Source organism: Homo sapiens, chromosome 2, assembly GCF_000001405.40.
Source record: "Homo sapiens chromosome 2, GRCh38.p14 Primary Assembly".
Classification (NCBI taxonomy): Eukaryota; Metazoa; Chordata; class Mammalia; order Primates; family Hominidae; genus Homo; species Homo sapiens.
Window position 1 is genome coordinate 197,923,111 of NC_000002.12, and position 18,883 is coordinate 197,941,993.

At 38.7% G+C, this 18,883-nt stretch overlaps 1 protein-coding gene across 2 annotated transcripts in view, besides 2 other annotated features; it reads left to right on the top strand.

Moving 5' to 3' along the window:
- PLCL1 (phospholipase C like 1 (inactive)) overlaps positions 1-18,883 on the top strand; it is a 345,271-nt gene that overhangs the window by 118,518 nt on the left and 207,870 nt on the right. The gene's annotated exons all lie outside the window — the stretch shown is intronic.
- Positions 6,235-6,529: an enhancer, noted in NCBI's record as "tiled region #14302; K562 Activating DNase unmatched - State 5:Enh". NCBI's record gives its function as "activates a minimal TATA promoter and a strong SV40 promoter by Sharpr-MPRA in K562 cells {active_cell/tissue: K562}" and the evidence as "EXISTENCE:reporter gene assay evidence [ECO:0000049][PMID:27701403]".
- Positions 15,379-15,592: a silencer, noted in NCBI's record as "fragment chr2:198803213-198803426 (GRCh37/hg19 assembly coordinates)". NCBI's record gives its function as "represses an EF-1alpha promoter that drives an FKBP-Casp9 reporter gene in an ReSE screen in K562 erythroleukemia cells {active_cell/tissue: K562}" and the evidence as "EXISTENCE:reporter gene assay evidence [ECO:0000049][PMID:32094911]".

Genomic DNA, 18,883 nt, shown 5'->3' on the forward strand with positions numbered 1-18,883 from the left:
GGCTGGCCAGGCTGAGGGGCTCCTCACTTCCCAGTAGGGGCGGCCGGGCAGAGGCGCCCCTCACCTCCCGGACGGGGCGGCTGGCCGGGCGGGGGGCTGACCCCCCACCTCCCTCCCGGATGGGGCGGCTGGCCGGGCGGGGGGCTGACCCCCCCCACCTCCCTCCCGGACGGGGTGGCTGCCGGGCGGAGACGCTCCTCACTTCCCAGATGGGGTGGCTGCCGGGTGGAGAGGCTCCTCACTTCTCAGACGGGGCAGCTGCCGGTCGGAGGGTCTCCTCACTTCTCAGACGGGGTGGTTGCCAGGCAGAGGGTCTCCTCACTTCTCAGACGGGGCGGCCGGGCAGAGACGCTCCTCACCTCCCAGACGGGGTCTCGGCCGGGCAGAGGCGCTCCTCACATCCCAGATGGGGCGGCGGGGCAGAGTCGCTCCCCACATCTCAGACGATGGGCGGCCGGGCAGAGACGCTCCTCACTTCCTAGATGTGATGGCGGCTGGGAAGAGGCGCTCCTCACTTCCTAGATGGGATGGCGGCCGGGCGCAGACGCTCCTCACTTTCCAGACTGGGCAGCCAGGCAGAGAGGCTCCTCACATCCCAGACGATGGGCGGCCAGGCAGAGATGCTCCTCACTTCCCAGACGGGGTGGCGGCCGGGCAGAGGCTGCAATCTTGGCACCCTGGGAGGCCAAGGCAGGCGGCTGGGAGGTGTAGGTTGTAGCGAGCCGAGATCACGCCATTGCACTCCAGCCTGGGCACCATTGAGCACTGAGTGAACGAGACTCCGTCTGCAATCCCGGCACCTCGGGAGGCCAAGGCTGGCGGATCACTCGCGGTTAGGGGCTGGAGACCGGCCCGGCCAACACAGCGAAACCCCGTCTCCACCAAGACCAGTCAGGCGTGGCGGCGCGTGCCTGCAATCGCAGGCACTCGGCAGGCTGAGGCAGGAGAATCAGGCAGGGAGGTTGCAGTGAGCCGAGATGGCAGCAGTACAGTCCAGCTTCGGCTCCGCATGAGAGGGAGACCGTGGGGAGAGGGAGAGGGAGAGGGAGAGGGAGAGGGAGAGGGAGAGGGAGAGGCCCCCTTACATTTTTGCACGCAAGGCAAGTGCTTCACTAGCTTTACCCTAGCCGTAGGCCTGATCTTTGAAAATCAAGACCTTGTCTCTGCTGCAGCTTCAATGTCTTTGTTCCTCCTGAGCAGGCTCTGATTGATAAATTCTTAATTGAGAGCAGTCATATCACAAATACACAAACATCTTTTCAGGTGAACCCTCCACTGGTATTGACAATGGAGAAAGCTCTGAGAAATTCACCTTTAGATTTGAGTTAATTTGAGTTGTGGTAAATCTTAGTAACAACAACAAACAGTAGCACTAAAATGTATGTAGATGCATTAGGCTAAGTATTTTATGTGTATCACTCTATTTAATCTTTACAACAACCCATGAGCAATACTATTATTATTGATACAGCACTTTATAGACCAGGGAACTGAAGTACAGAGGGCTAAACTTGTTTAATGAAGCGCTCACAGGGTCGAGACCGGCTCCAGTTCACTGTTGAGCACTGTGCAGGCCTGCCTGTCAGCACAGGGAGAGCAACAGTTGAATTTAGCATCCTTCTTATCTGGGGGGGTCATGAGTAGGAACGTATTCATTATATTCTGAGGACTTAAGTGGTTGACTGAAAACCCAGAGCATTTCAGGTATTACATCTAGAGTTTTTAACGTTACATTTAGATATTACATTTAGGGTTTCCATAATATTTGAGAATAATCTAGAACTGATCATAGAATAAAGTGAAAGGAATGCAAATTTCTAGCTGATTCCCTACCCATTTGTTGAATAAATTCGGGCAATCAAACAATCTGAAATGTAGCATAATATTATGGCTTTGGTTTTTAAGATGGAAAAAGTGATTTATAAATGAACAGATTAAGAATCAGTTTTTTACTTTTCCTGATGGGCTTTTGTGGACACTGTTGTAGTTCTCAATAATCTTGAATTTATGAATGTGCCGGCTAGGAAATTATCAACACCACATGCTGTTTCCCACACTGAAAACTTTTAAGTATTGAGAAAAAAAATCTGTATTTATATGGGTGATAAAGTGAAAAATATAAAATAAAATTTTCAGAGTTGTGAGGGATTTGTTTATGTGCTATAGAAGTATATTGGAGAAGTTTTAAAAACTGGTTGGTTAAAAAAAATCAGTTAGCTTGAATTTTGAGTGGGGTGTTTCAGTTCTAGCTAGTGGATTGCTTAATCATCAACATTCAGCTTCTGAGAAGAAATTTCTTCCCAAGTGAATACAGTAGACTCTTGGCTTTCCCAGATTTAACATTTTCAGTTTCTATTATTTGGGAATGAACTTTAAGCTCTTCAATGTGGTGATTTGTAATTGGGTCAAATCATAAATATGACAGTGAGAATGCAAGACTAATTTGTTGGAGCCACTCCTAGCCAAGGAGAAAGCCTGTACCCACATCTTCTCAAGTGTGTATCTTATGGAGGAAATCATATGTTGTAGTGGTATTTACAAAAGCCTGAGGACATCCATCATAAATGTTAATGGTCTGCTAGTTGTACTTAAACTACAACTTTTCTCCATGCACTCACTAACACTCCCTCCCTCCCTCCCTCCCTCAGACCTCCTCTACACCAGAGCCTCCTGCCAAACCTTCCCACACCTTTGTCATTAACCCTTTTTATTTCAATCTCTCTTTTAGCTGGAGACCTGATTTTTCTACTCAGTTTTAAATGCTCTTAAGTATCATATTTTGTCACTCTATTTGTAGCACATCTGTCCTTTCTTCTGGATCTTAAATACATTCTGAATGAAATTCAGTCTTGTTTTGAAGGTCAGCTTTCCTTCTATTCAAACCATGTTTGTCAGTTATGGCTTTTGGTTTGTCTTTGAGGGGGTCTTGTTTTCCCTCTCATCTTTATGAATCCTTACTTGCTGCTCTGCAACATGTGTAAATTTCTTGTTCACAGCATGTCAGCAAATAACTTGTCAAGCTTCAGTGGCTCACTGTGATTTTTTTCTACCTCCAAAGAGTATATGAGTAGATTCAATAACATGCTGTAGAGCCCCAAACCAACCCTGTGGGAGAGGTCAGAGTTACCCTCAGATTTTGTAGTAGAGACTCAGGAATAAGTAGTGACACATAGACAGAAAACATCAGAATGTGACAAGCAATGGCTGAACCCACTTGTGGATTTTGCACTGCCATTTTACCTCTTTAGGCAAAATAAGAGGTTTCTGTTTCTGAGCCTAGTCTATTCCCTTAGAACCTTTCCATGTTATCCTTTATCTTTATGCAATGTTTCCCATATGTCAGCCATTCATGGCCATTCACCATCCCATTTTTTGTTATGAGCTTTCAAACTCAAATTATAATTTACGTGATATTTAAAAAATTTGTCTCTTTAACTTTGTATTCATTTGATGTTGCCTTTTCTAACCGTGACCATAAATAAAAACCCACTATCACATGGCACAAACATAAATAAGATCAAAAGTAGTATTTTTATCATTTGTCTACTATTGGCCTGCGCATTTGCTGAAACTGCAGCCTATTGTTTCTTTCTTGAAACTGGGGAGTAGGAAGCCTTCTGGTTATCAGTTGCTGCAAAACAAGCCACCCAAAACTTAGTGGTTTAAAATAATACTTTATTACTATCACTCACATTTTTGTGGGTTGACTTGGCTATCCTGTGGTACTCGTTTGGGTTTGGCATGAGGTTTCATTTGACAGCTGGGGCAGGGATTATCTGAAGGCTTGATTGGGCTGGATGTTCATGGTGGTTGTCTTATTTGGCTGGGCAAGGGCTGCTACCTGTTAGCTGGGACCGCCTGAAGCTATTTCCTGTAGTGCCTACACGTTGCTTCTTCATATGGTTTGTCATCACATGTGGCAGCTAAGTTCCAAGAGTGAGTGCTCAAAGAAGTCTTCGTGGACACTGAGGTTTCTTAGGATCTAGGCTCTGAAGTCCCACAACATCTTAACCACTTTCTATTGATTTAGTCTAGTTCAGATTCAAGGAAAATAGTAGGGAAGAATTTGTGGCCATCTTTTTATCTATCACAGTTATTGTCAGAGGGGTGTTAAAGAATAGCAAACTTAAATGTTCTTTGTGATGTAATCAGAGGGATTGAAAGAGAACTGAAAGGGGAATGGCATTCTACCATGTCATTTAATGTTATTTAATTCTGTCTCCATTCATTGCTTTAACTCATCTTGGCACCACCAATGTCAGTGAGCCCCTCCTCAATGTATTCACCCTCTTCTGTGATGCTTCATATCTCTTTCCTTTGGGATTTCAAGAAGAATTTGGTTGATATGTTCTTCTATCATTTTGAGGGTTACCTTCTGTCTTTTCCTAATGCTAAAAATACAAAGAAGAAAGGTAGAAAAGCAAAAGTAGCATTGTAATGAACAAAATTAGTGTTTTCAAGGCAAACAGCCAAGTATTACATAAGCCAACTCACAGGGCATTTTTACAAAAATTCTGGAGAAATGGCTATGCTGGTTTCCAGATTTAGAAACCTCTCTGGCTCACTTGAAAGGACTACTTGGGAGGAGGGATCCTATCACTAGACACCTTCCTTCATGGGTCAAACTTTTGATTCAAGTGTGCATGGGTGAGATACTAAGATGAAATAATTTGAGTGTCAAAATCTATGTTTATTATGGAAAATTTTAAGGTTATATTGTTTCTCAGGAATAACCCAAACAGACACTGATGACTAGCATTAGTGACGTTATGGCCAGATTATGTGAAAATTGACAAGCAAATATGGTGTAGTTTTCCCCTCTTTTAGGAAAAGCACAAAGAAGGATCCATTTTGTGAAAAATGCACAAACTCTTAAGGTTAAATTTAGAACCAAGGGTCATTTTTAAATGAAGTTTGATGGTATGATTTTTTTGACTGGTATATTGCTTTATATCTGCATCTAGTCATTATATGCATATATTTCAACCAAAGGTATACAGTTTTAGAAACTTCCTTTCATCAAGTTTCAATTTTTCCTTTTGCATTTATTGCTCAATACATGATTAGTCATGAGTAAGCATCCAGAATGATATATGTATTAGCTCTTCACTTTGGACAAGAAATTTCTTCCAATTTATATAATCACTCAACATGACTTAATTGTCATGGTTAAATCTCCTTGACTCTGTACTCAGTGGCATTAAGCAAGCAAATGTTGCTTATTTTTCACTAAGTACTAACTATGAAGAGCTGTTAGGAGCCTCTAGGAAGTTAACTTACATGAAAATTCTCTCTTGACCCCATTATATTTTTAAAGAAGTATAGATACTAGCCAATGCTGGGACTATGTCTTAGATAAATATTCAAGATGCTCTGAGTGGAATCTGTGCTAACATTATTACCACTGGTATAGTTTTTGCTCTGAAGATTTATGAAATGGATTATTATTTTGAAAGTGTTAAGCACTGTTAGGGGACTCTCTTTTTTTTGACTTGGACTGGATCCCACAATTCTAAAAGTATTTATGAAAACAATATGATGAAATGTTAATGATGGAAGTGTATCCTTGAACTTTGATTTTAAAAAGGTGTTAAATCACTGATGAGTCCTTGTCTTCACCTTTGCTTAGTTCCAAGATTAAACTCAGTCATAAACATGATATTTATAAAGAGTTTCTCATAACTTAGATATTACAATAGTAAATGAAGCAACAGAATCGATTCACAATTATGTATACAACTCAGTACAACAATTCAAAAATAAATATGCCTAGAAAAATACCTGGAAAAATATACCACCATGTCAATAGTCATTGCCTTCTGTTTGGATTATATTGTTTCCCCTTTGGTAATCTTTTTCTTTACACTTTTCTTTAATTTTTTCAACTTTTCTATAATGAAAACATTTTAGCATTGGCATGTGTCACTTAACTAAATGAGATTCTGTGATTGCTAATGTATATGCTTCAGTGAATTGTTAGTTTTTAAATTATGTTAATGAATAAACAGTTTCCAGGCCAGTCATTTTCTAGCCTCATTAATGCCATAGTGACATTTGTTATACTGTACTGAACGATTTTATATAAGAGACTTGAGCATTCTTGAATTTGGTATCCTTCTGGGGTCCTGGAACCAATCCCCCATGGATATGGAGGGCCGACTGTAAACGCCTTCTCCTGATTTGGGTTTTATACATTTGTATCAGCAGTCTTATAAACACCCTAGAAGGAAGCTCCACCTTCCAGAAGATGAGGCAGCATGCTCCTTAACTGTTGAATGAAGATTCTTTCCTGTTTCCACTCTTTGTTTGGTGGGCAGGAAGGCTCCTGCTCTTCAGTTGGAAGTGGCTGCAGCTGTTATTAGCAGATAAGCAGGAGTGGCCTGGCCATTTCTGTGACTCACAGTGACTTAGTGGGATTCATATCAAGAATTCCTTCCTTTTCTCTTGACAGTTTTCAGGTACTTCAGAAGGTTAGGTAGAAGGGATATGAGTGATTAAGATATATTTTATAGGAATAATTGAAAGCTGGGCATTTGATGTGTTTTGATTTTAGAACAGAGTACTGGACAGCTTCACATTTGGATTCTGGGCAGGTATGAATTCTAATGAGAGAGTTAAAAATAGTGCTAGGTAACTAGTAAAGTAAGTGACACAGAGACTTTCCTTTAGTTCTTCGTCCATCTTTGTTTCTCATTCGTTGACTTGCATTGCCTCATCCTTTATCTACTCTATCAGTGTGAGGTTATAGAATAATAGAGAGAAAAAGAAAACAAAAATAACATACTTAATTTCAATTTATTTATTGAATCAAACATTACCTAAAGTTGTTCTTTTGACATTTTTTCTCCTGTGATACACAGATGTCTCACTGAGTATCAAATAGTGAGAGGGAAAAAGATTCCCATGGGGTGAATCTGCATGGAAGAGTGTGCATTAATCTGTGCAAATGCCTACTAATCTTGGAACTTCTGAAGTAAAGAAAAATCCATTACTACTGCTCTATATAAATATTAACAACCTAAAAGTAACTTAAGTGATCTGCAATGGAATATGTGCCATTTAGATCTTTTAACTACTTCACACTTTCATAAGACTTACCACATATCCCAACCTCCCACTTTAAATAGACGTTTTTGAAAATATCAGTCAAGGAGAATCTTTAATTACTACATTGCTTCAGGGAAACATACAATTTTGGTAATAAGAAACACTACTTCAACAGATCTGTTCTTCACAAAATAGAGTACATGCAAATGATATGACTGAACTCAAATTCAGATGTTTGGCAGTTGAGCTATTTGGTGAAATGTCTTGAGGGAAAGATCTTTGGGTTCTTTTATACTTGATGACTTTAAATCTGTGAAAACTAAGGGGCTAAAATAAAATGAAATAACTGGGTCTTTTGTTTTTCTTCTTAATAGTTTATTGTGTAAAGAGGCCTCGTTTTCCTACTATACCTTATTCTTTGATGCTTTTCATTTCCTTGTATGTTTTGGAAAAATAATGTATGTTCATAGAACTCTAGGCACCATACAGCGACAATTGGTCAGGCCTTCTGAGCTGCAACACACTGCAGATGTGAGGAAGAATTGTAATCAGTAGGTCATCTGCCTGCATAATTTTCAGGGAGCCATCTTGCTCCTACCAGGACACATATGGAGGGGCATGTTTGCAATTTTATTAATAACATTTTTAACTCACAAAAGTTCCCACATAAGGAGGCCAGCACTGTCAAAGTTCTTTTTTCTATCTGGGAAGGGCTTATTTGGTTTATTGTGCCTTCTATGATCTTGTTTTCTATAAAGATAGGCTGCTAAAAGTGGTAGACAGTTACTCTTTACTCTATGCCCTATTCTACATCAGTGCTGAATGAGCAGGGGCTGTGGACAGAAGGTCATGAGGGAGGGGTCAGTTGGAGGGTGGCAGGGCAGGTAAGTGAAGGGTTTGGGCTAAGTCACATTATATGCTCACCCTCTTAAGTTTCGTGTGGTAAATTCCAGCTGGAATAAAAATAAGAGCCACCTTGATTGGGAAAAGAAACTGGGAGGTGTCTCGGAAGGGAAGATAGAGCCTAAGAAGCAGTATCTATTGCTAGCAAGAAAGCCTGGGCTCCCTTTGCCCCCATAAAAGTGTTTAGATCTGGTCGGTGAAAGTCAGACTTAAACTTTCCTCACCCACCTCAGAGCAGCATTCTGGAATAGTTGCTATCATTTATAGTGCTCTGAGGATATTTCAGGTTTTGTTTTTTTCTTTAAAGGATAAAGTCATTGATAGAACTATAATTACAAGGAGGCTCAGCTGTTGCTGTAGGTGGTAACAACTTATAAGGCAGTCTACACCGGCTGATCTTCAATTAAATTATTCATTTCTGCATGCAAATTCCACCCATTCTTTTCCTTTTTATGGCAGAAGCTACCAGTACCTTTATACAAATGATCTTGGTGGGGTTCCTGTCTTCCTGTTTGGAGATGGCCTTATTGAGTATGATTCAAGAAATAGACAGACCTCTTGCCTTCCTCATACCAACCTACAACCATCCAACCAACCAACCAACCAACCAACCAACCACCCACCCACCCACCCACCCACCCAACCATCCAATCACCCAACCAACCAATGATCTAACCTTTTCATAGGACAGAGGCCTTTATTCCCAGTTTTAAATTCAGTGGGAAGCATAAAGGACTATGATAAAATTATTTCTTGAATGTCTTATTACTACACAGGTCAGTTGAACATGAAAGGGGAAGTGGAGAGGTTTAAATTGTTAAGGTTAAAATTGTCAAAATTGGAGGGCTGTGGTCATTTTACATAATTTACATATGTATATTCAATTTTGTTTAAGGCTAGATTGTAAAATATCCTGCATAGAGCAGAACTGGACTATTTTAAAGGAAATTCTTTTGAATGGGTAATGAGCAAGACATGATGTGACCAAAGGACCTGAAAAACTGCCAATTTCTCAGTTTTAGGCTTCTGTGATCTTCCCCATACTTTCTCTGTTGGGTCATTGCTACTCATATTGATTGCACGGTCCTCTGATACTCACTCATTCCACAGTTACCATCTGATGAGATGTGGCTAGTTTCAGTGCTCTGATTCTGTTGAATGAGATTATGCAGTGAACTTGGGTATTTTCTTCAGCTTGTGATGGTTTAGGAATTGCTGTCTAGGACCTCTTTTTATACTGCACTGAACACAGTTATTTCCCATTTTGAGGTACTTACACTTTTTTGACAACTATTTTTTAAAAATTTAATTTAATTTTAAGTTCTGGGACACGTGCAGGACGTGGAGGTTTGTTACATAAGTAAACATGTGCCATGGTGGTATGCTGTACCTGTCACCCACCACCTAGATTTTAAGTCCTGCATGCATTGACTATTTCTCCAGATGCTCTCCGTCCCCCTACCCCCCAAACCCAGCAGGCCCCAGTGTGTGCTGTTCCCCTCCCTGTGTCCATGTGTTTTCATTGTTCAGCTTCCGCTTATAAGTGAGAACATGCAGTGTCTGGTTTTCTGTTCCTGCTAACTCACTATTTTGCATGTGTATAGAAAGGCGTTTTTAACTTACTTCAACTCAAGATCAATTTCTTAGTCACCTACTATGCACAAGACACTATTCCAGGTATTGCAGGAATTAAAAGGTAAGTGAGACATGGGCTGTGGCAGTAAATTGGTATTAAAGCAGGATTGGGAGATGGCATTCAGAATGGTGAAGAAATAGGAGAGCATGTTAGGTACTTCACTGTGAGTGTTAAAAGGAAAAAGAGATCACCTGAAACTGGGAGGCATCCTGATTTGCTTAGGTCTGCTGGTTTTGTTTTGGTGAGGTTTAGGGCCAATCAACAAAAACAATAAGTTAGAATTTCATAAAGGAAATAGTTTAAAGTATCTACTCCTAGAAACAAAGTATGTGTGAGAGGAGCAGTTATTGGCTGTCTGCTTTTTAAAATGCTTGCCCTTGACTTAAAGGTATGAAAAGAGAATTTTAAAAAATTTCAGTGAGTGTGGTGGGCACTATATCCTAGTTGATTCTTAATTATTCAGGAGCTAAATATCAAGTTGGAGAATTATCTAAGTTGTTCTCTTTTTCTCTTTCTTTTATTCCTGACTCCCATCTGATGTTTGTGTTGTTTCTTTTTTTTTTCTTTTCTTTTTTTTTTTTTTTTGAGACGGAGTCTCTCTCTGTTGCCCAGGCTGGAGCGCAGTGGTGCGATCTCGGCTCACTGCAAACTCCACCTCCCGGGTTCACGCCATTTTCCTGCCTCAGCCTCTCAAGTAGCTGGGACTACAGGCGCCTGCCACGACGCCCAGCTAATTTTTTGTATTTTTAGTAGAAACGGGGTTTCGCCGTGTTAGCTAGTATGTGTTGTTTCTATATACTAATTGCCTCAGAGCTGGTAGAAAGGAAATAACAAGATTAATAGATTAATTGCAAATCTTTAGCTATATTAGTTAAGGAAAAGGCTGTGATATTTGGGCAAAATGAGGGTAATTGGTGAATTGACTATTTGTTCTGGTTCATTATCATCGTGGATAATTGAGAGCTAATGGAAGTCATTGGAACTGGGCCTGCAGGGTGATTTAAGATCAGAATGTTTCTTAAGGGTGGGAAGAAGGTTCTTGATGTGATACAGTACAGAGCTCTTTCTTATTCTATATTAAATGCTCATAATGGTAGACTGGATAATTGTCTATATAATAATTGTCTATATATATATAATGGCCTCTATAATAATTTTGTAAAGTCTTACTTTCTTCCTTTCTATATATTTTTTGGGTACAGTATTTAAGTTACTGAGCTTAAAATAAACTTCCTGAAAGAGTAATCTGGGTTAAAAATGGTTATAGCTGCAGAAATACATACTGTGAATTGCTCCCGGAAATCTGTACGGCAAATGTAAGAGCATTTTGGCTCAACACACTTAACTCTAATGCATCTCATCCAATTAGAGTTTATGGCAACTGTCATTCAATATTAGCAGCTATACTTAAAATATGAGTGTTTTAAAATGATTGTGTTTATGGTTTCTTTCTTATCTCAGTAAAAACAGTTTGGTTTGCCAGCAAGTTTTTTTGTTTGTTTTTTGTTAGGTACCTTCTAGGTTGTAAATGGACAGGAAGCTGTCTATCAAGAGATTTCTTTCTTCAGCTCTTTTAAAAGTAGTGTGAGCTGGGGATGATATATAATATGATAAAATACCTAATGGATCCCTGAATCCACTTTCATTGAGTTCATGGAAGTTTGTAAATGTGCAGCTGTAGTGGCAGAGTGTTTATCAGTGCTGAGAATATCACTGTTCTTGCTTTTGACTTTGTGAAGTCGGCATATTCACATCCACAACGCCTTTCTTGTAACCATAGCAACCAAGACAGAAGGTTTCTTTTTTTCTCTCTCATATTCAAAAGCACTATTAAGATGATAGATTTTATTTGAATGAGGTATTTGCAGATAAGAGAGGCATAAACTTAAATTCTGACCTCTGGATAAGTTTTTTTTTCTTCGTTAGGAAAGAAAAATATTTTATAGTTGACAAAAACATTTTATAGGTGACAAAAATTGTATATATTTATGGTATACCAAGTAATGTTTTCATATATGTATATGTTGTGAAATGATTAAATCAAGCAAATTAACATATCAGTCACCTCACATACGTATCATTCTTTGTGAGAACATTTAATATCACTTTTACTTCTGTACAGCAAAAGAAACTATCAACAGAGTAAACAGACAACCTATAGAATAGGAGAAAATATCTGCAAATTCTGCATCTGACAAGGGTTTAATATTCAGAATCTAAATGAACTTAAATTAACAAGCAAGAAACAAACAACTCCATTAGAAAGTGGGCAAAGGACATGAACAGACACTTTTTCAAAAGACGACATACACTCGGCCAACTAGCATATGAAAAAATGCTCAACATCACTCGTCATTTGAGAAATGCAAATCAAAACCACAACGAGATACCATCTTACACCAGACAGAATGGCTGTTATGAAAAAGTAAAGAAATAACAGGTCCTGGTGAGTTTGCAGAGAAAAGAGAACACTTATACACTGCTGGGGTGGGAATGTAAATTAGTTCAGCCACTGTGAAAAGCAGTGTGGCAATTTCTCAAAGAATTTAAAACAGAATTACCATTCTGTATACACCCAAAGGAATATAATTAATTCTGCCCTAAAGACTCATGTATGCTTATGACAACAATATTCACAATAGCAAAGACATGGAATCAACCTAAATGCCCATCAGTGGTAGACTGGATAAAGAAAATGTGGTGCATAGACACCATAGGATGCTATTAATATGTAACCATAAAAAGAACAAGATCTTGTTCTTTGCAGCAACATAGATGGAGCCAGAGGCCATAATCCTAAGTGAACTAATGCAGGAACATAAAACCAAATACTGCATATTCTCACTTATAAGTGGGAACTGAACATTGAGAACACATGGACACAAAGGGGAACAACAGACACGGGAACCTATTTGAGGGTAGAGGGTGGGAGAAGGGAGAGGATCGAAAAACTACCTATCGGGTACCATGCTTATTACCGGGGTGACAAAATAATCTGTACACCCAACCCCTGTGACACACAATTTACCTATACAACAAACCTGCATGTGTACCCCTTGAACGTAAAAGTTAAAAGAGAATCTCTCTTAGTGAATTTCAGCTATACCATATGTTATTACAGACCATAGTCACCATGCTATACAATAGATCTCCCAAACTTATTTATTCTATCTGACACTTTGCACCCCTTGACCAACATCTCCCACCTATGCCAGTTCCCAGTGTCTGGCAGCTGTCATTCTACTATCTACTTCTAAAGTTCAGCTTTTTTAGATTCCACATATAAGTGAGATCATGCAGTATTTGTTCTTCTGTTCCTAGCTTATTTCACTTAGCATAATTCCTCCAGGTTCATTCATGTTGTCACAAATGACAGGATCCCTTTTTTCCAGCTGAGTAGTATTCTATTGTGTGTATGTATACATATATTAAACACCCCCCCCCTCACATTTTCTTTATCCATTCATGCATTGATGGACACTTAGGTTGATACCGCATCTTAGCTATCATGAATAGTGCTGCAGTGCATGGAGTGCAGATATCTCTTCAGCATATTGATTTCATTTCCTTTAGATGTACACCAACAAGTGGTATTGCTGGATTATATGATAATTCTATTTTTAATTTTTTGATAAACCTCCATTGTTTTCCATAGTGGCTATATTAATTTATATTTCCACCAACAATGTACAAGCCTTTCCTTTTTTCCGCATATCTTTCCAGCACTTATCTGTTGACAATAACTATTCTAATGGGCATGAGGTAATATCTTATTTTGGTTTAATTTGCATTTTCTTGATGATTAGTGATGTTGAACATGTTTTCATATACCCGTTGGCCATTTGTATGTCTTTTGAGAAATGTCTGTTCAAGTCTTTTCCCTGTTTTAAAATTGAGTTATTTGTTTTCTTGCTATTGAGTTGCCTAAGTTTCTTATATATTTTGAATATTAACTTCTTATCAGATGTACAGTCTGCAGATATTTTCTACCATTCTGTGAGTTGTCTCTTCACTCTGTTGATTGTTTCCTTTGCTGTGCCAGAACTTTTTAGTTTTATGTAATTCCGTTTGTCTATTTTTGCTTTTGTTGCTTGTGCTTTTAAGGTGCTTAAGGTTTTTTGCTTGTGCTTTTAAAGTCATATACAAAAAAATCATTGCCTAGACCAATGTCACGTAGCTTTCCCCCTGTGTTTTCTGCTAGTAGTTTTATAGTTTCAGGTCCTATATTTAAGTCTTCAATCTGCTTTGAGTTGCTTTTTGAATTTGGTGTGAGATAAAGGTCCATTTTCTTTCTTCTGCATATGGATACCCAGTTTTCCCAGAACTATTTATTGAAGAGACTGTCCTTTCTTCATTGTGTGTTCTTAGCACACTTGCCAAAGATCAATTGACCATAAATGCATAAATTTATTTCTGGGATGTCTATTCTGTTCTGTTGATTTATGTATGCTACTTTATGCCAGTAGCACACTGTCTCAACTACTGTTGCTTTTAGGATGTTTTGAAATCAAGAAGTGGGCTTCCAGCTTTGTTCTTTTTCAAGATTGTTTTTGCTATTTGGGGTCCTGTAATATCCTTTATGAATTTTAGAACTGCTTTTTCTGTGTCTGTGAGAAATGTCATTGAAATTTTGGTGGGGATTGCATTGAATCTGTACACCATTTGCATAGGATGGACATTTTAACAATGTTATTTTTTCCAATCTATGCGCATGGATAATCTTTCCATTTATTTATGTCTTCTTCAATTTCTCTCATTAATCTTTTGTAGTTTTCATTGTACAGATCTTTCACCTCCTTGGGTAAAATTATTCCTAAGTATTTTGTTTCTTTGAAGCTATTGTAAATGGGCTGGATAAATTTTGTTAAGCCTCTTTGTCTCATCTCCCTCACCAGCTACTTCTGTTGATTTGGGTCACCAAGCACACTATAATGTTTTCTGCCATATCATCCTTGAAATGTTGCAGAGATTGTTTGGACAAAGACATTTTAAAAATAAACCTTAGACATAGAATTTTGAAAACAAACATAAACTATACACAGCTACAATGAAAGATTAAATATAAATCAGTCAGGTGCTTTACAAAAGGATTAAAAGAACTTACGGTCCATTAGTGCCAAAGAGAAGGCTATAAAATAAAACCAAGAGAAGGATCAAGGATTTTTTTTCCATGTACAGGAATGAATGAAGGACTTGGGGTCCCATAATGTTTCCTAAATATTTAAGGTGGTATTAGTGTGGCTGTGCTCACTTTGTGCATTGTACTTGGGACCTGTTGGGCAACAACCCAAGTCTGGAGATGAATAGAGAAGTTACTCCCACGTCACTGGCACAGACCTTCAACTCTGACATGATCACATCTATGTCTCACAGATATCTTACATTTTACAAGTTTAAATTTCTTAATCTTCCCCTAGAATTATAGTTCTTTTCCAGTCTTCATGAGTCAATAATTCTTCTATCTTCTTAGGACCTTGGGAGCCATCTTTGACATGTTCTTTTACATTCAGTGCATCATCAGTTTATGTTCATTGTACTTCCAAAGTGTATGTTTACCAACTTCCACATCCACCTCCATTGTCATACTGTAGTATTCCAAGCCACTGACTCTTGCATTTGAACTTCTATAGTAACCTCCTCATTGCTCTTGTATCTTCCATAAGAGTTTCTTCCAAAATTCCAGAATAGTTTCCTCAAACTTGTCTCCACAGAAGCGAATATGTAGAATATGGTACAAGCTTTGCTGCTGTGATGTAGTATTCTCTAAATAGAGTGTTTCAGACAAGATAGACATTTAATTATCCCTCAAATAATATCCAAGCTAGGCAAGGGGTCTTTAGCTTTTTTGGGTTGTCCTACCATCCTCAAAACACGGTTTTTATCTTGGGCCCAAATCTCCACTTGTTGCCATCTCCTACCAGCAGTTGGTGGGGAAAGGGCCAGGGGAACACATACCTAGTCCTTTCAAGGGGAATACCTGGAAGCTTGGAGAGTTTATATAACTTCCTGAAGGTCACACAGCTGTTTAGTGGCAGGGCTGATTGGATCTGAGGTTTGTGTGATTCAGAAGCCACTAGATCTCTTTTATGGGGAAAGAAAGATAATGCATAGCTGTTGCATTCCAAGTTGACACTGAAGCTATTAAAACCCATATTTTGAAATAATTGTGCAAAGTTTCATTAATCTCAAGTGGAGACAAGAAAATGGCAATATTAAGAGTGGAAAGATAAATAGAAATAAGAACATTTGAGTTTGTGAACACAAATGGTTGGAATGATCCTGTTTGTAAGTTGTGAATTATAGGGAACAGATATTAAATATTTCATAAGAAAATAACATACCTTCCATTAATGGGGGTGGTGGTGAGAAGGAGGATCAATGGCACTATCTCCAGTGGGAGTTCTTAACTGGGATGAAGCAATGTTCTCAATAAAATACTTAATTTTCTATTTATTTTCTTGATTACATCCATTTAATAGTTTTAGTAGAGAGATGTCGGTAAGTATAAGCAACTGCTGCTTTCCTAACATCAAGTAGAGGACAGGTGAAATCAGATTTTAGGATACCTACAGCAGTGTCTCTTAACCCTGAATGCACATTAGAATGACCTGGGAGCATTTAAAAAGCCCAGATCCAGGGTTGCCTCCGCAATTACAAAATCAGAATTCTGGGAATGGGACCTGTATTTGTTTTCCATGGCTGCCATAACAAAGTACCACAGTCTGGGTGACTTAAACGACAGAAGTTGATTTTTTTCATAGTTTTGGAGGGTAGAAGTCCAGGATTTAGGTGTTGGCAGGTTTGGTTTCTTCTGAGGCTTCTCTTCTCTGCCATCTTCTCCTCCTGGTTTCTTCATGTGGTCTTCCCTCTGTACCCATCCGTATCCTGTTCTCCTTCCTTTATAAGAACAACAGTCTTATTAGAGTAGGGCCACCCTAATGACCTCTTTTTACCTTTTTACATAACCCATCTCCAAATACAGTCACATGTTGAGGTACTGGGGATTGGGACTTCAACAGACTTTTTTTTTTTTTTTTTTTTTGGCAGAGGAGGGGACACACAATTCAACTTATAACAGGATTAAAGCATCAGTGTTTTTAATCGGCCACTGTCTTCCCCCAAGTGATTCTAATATGCAGCCAAATTTGAGAGTCAATGCCCTAGGTGGGATTCTCAAACCTGGCTGCGTTAGAATCACCTGGGTAACTTAAACAACCCCCAAAAACAGCACATACCAATACTTAGGCATCAGCCTCAGAGATGTGATTTGATCCGTGTGGGGTGGGATGTTGTTAGTTTACAGAGTCTCCCAGGTGATTTTAATGTGTAACCAGGTTTGAGTATCACTGCACTAATATGTGTTTCTTAACTGTATAAATGGAAGCATATTTCTTACCTTTCTCCAAATTGTTTTTTTTGAAAATTTTTAATAAATGCAAGTTATTTTAATGAAAGATATATATTTAATGATGTAGTATTCAGGTCTAAAAAATGAACAAAATACTTTTAAGGTGTTATGTTTCAAATCAAATGTGGGTTTTGTGATATAATTTTCTTTGTGACTTATAGTCCTTTTTTGCTTAATGAAAATAAATCAAAAGAACTTGGGCCTATCACTCAGAAAGCAAATGAAGTGAAGAAACTGACACTTTAATGATTAAGTTGACTAAAGTGTCACAGCTTTTAGTGAGGTAATTTCTTGATTAAAGAAATGATGTTTTTCAGCTTTCAGAAGGAGGCTAGACTTTCCTTTCCAGATGATATCAAAATCTGATAACAATTCCTTGATTTATTCAGGCCAATTTCTGTGTTTTGAAGTAAAGCCACTTATCTGGCATTTTTCATTAAGGCTTGACAACAGCTGGCTGCTTCCCAGAATGCAGTGCTGTGACAGAGATTATGTTATAAAGCCATGGATCAGCTGCCTTTGTAATTTGCTTAAATTGATTATGTGTACATTTCTTCACTCTCTGGACTTAAAAGAAGCCTGCATTTGGGTGAGGAAACAGTATTATTATTTCAATGACAAAAGACCATGTCTATTACGCCATATTACACATAGACACACTGCCTTTTCCATTGTGCTCTAATAGTATTTTTAGTTTCAATCTTTTTGGAAAGTTATTTTAAATACTATGATTTCTATTTCGGCTGAATTTTGTAGCTTTAATCAAATAATTAAAGAAGCAATATTTAAGATCAGAAAAGCATTATTTAAATGATGAAAGTATACAGTCTTAGGAAAGTAGTTGATTTTTATTTGTCCTTTCTGTATGTTAATATCTGATACAGATACTTGCTGATATGCTTTTTAAGTTAAAAAAAAACTAATAAGTAATCATTATCTAAAGTTGCAGGGAGCCCATATCTTGCTGAAAGTTCTACAAGAATTCCAAGCACTGAGATTAAACTAGACATCTATACCAATAAGTTTAGATACCTTGTTTAAAAACAAATGTTGCCCTAGAAGTACACTAGCAAAGTACCCAAAGAGAGGAACCAAATTATGGGTTTTCCTTTTATTGAACTAAGTAGTGACCTGGGAAGCAAGTGCCCCCATGCACTGAGGTAATGATTTTATCAATGAAGGGGAATACTATTTTTTTTTTTTTTGAGACAGGGTCTCGCTGTGTTGCCCAGCCTGGAGTGCAGTAGTGCAATCACAGCTCTCTGCAGCTTTGACCTCCCAGGCTTGAGCAATTTTCCCACCTTAGCCTCCCAAGTAGCTGGGGCTGCAGATGTGTGATATCATGCCCAGATAATTTTTCATTTTTTTATAGAGATAGGGTCTTACTATGTTTCCCAGGCTGGTCTCGAACTCTGGGCTCAAGCAATCCTCCTATCTTCCAAAGTGTTAGATTACTGGCGTGGGCCACTGCACCTGGCTGGGAGCTACTTTTGGTTGAAAATTGATTAAATAAAAAAGAATGAGAAATGAGGTTTTGTGTTTTAGTTTTAATCATTTTCACCTTGGAACAAGAAGGTGCGATTTGGCCAGCAACTCAAAGCTGCTGTAATTCCCACTAATTATGTGGGTTAGCCCTCACCATTCTGCTTTCTCTCTCTCTCTCTCCCATTGTTGGAGCATTAACATCTTAGCCCCACTGGTGCCTTTAATACTGTTTGGAATTATTTTATTCATATCTTGGGGATCCCTATACAGTGGCATCTAAGCTTAGCTACCCACAGAGATCCCCTGGGGAACCTGTTAGTCATGACCTCCCAGGTTCATCCTCGACCTACTGAATCAGAGTTTCTGGGGATGGAACTGGGGAGTCTCTCTGTTTCAGTTGGTGA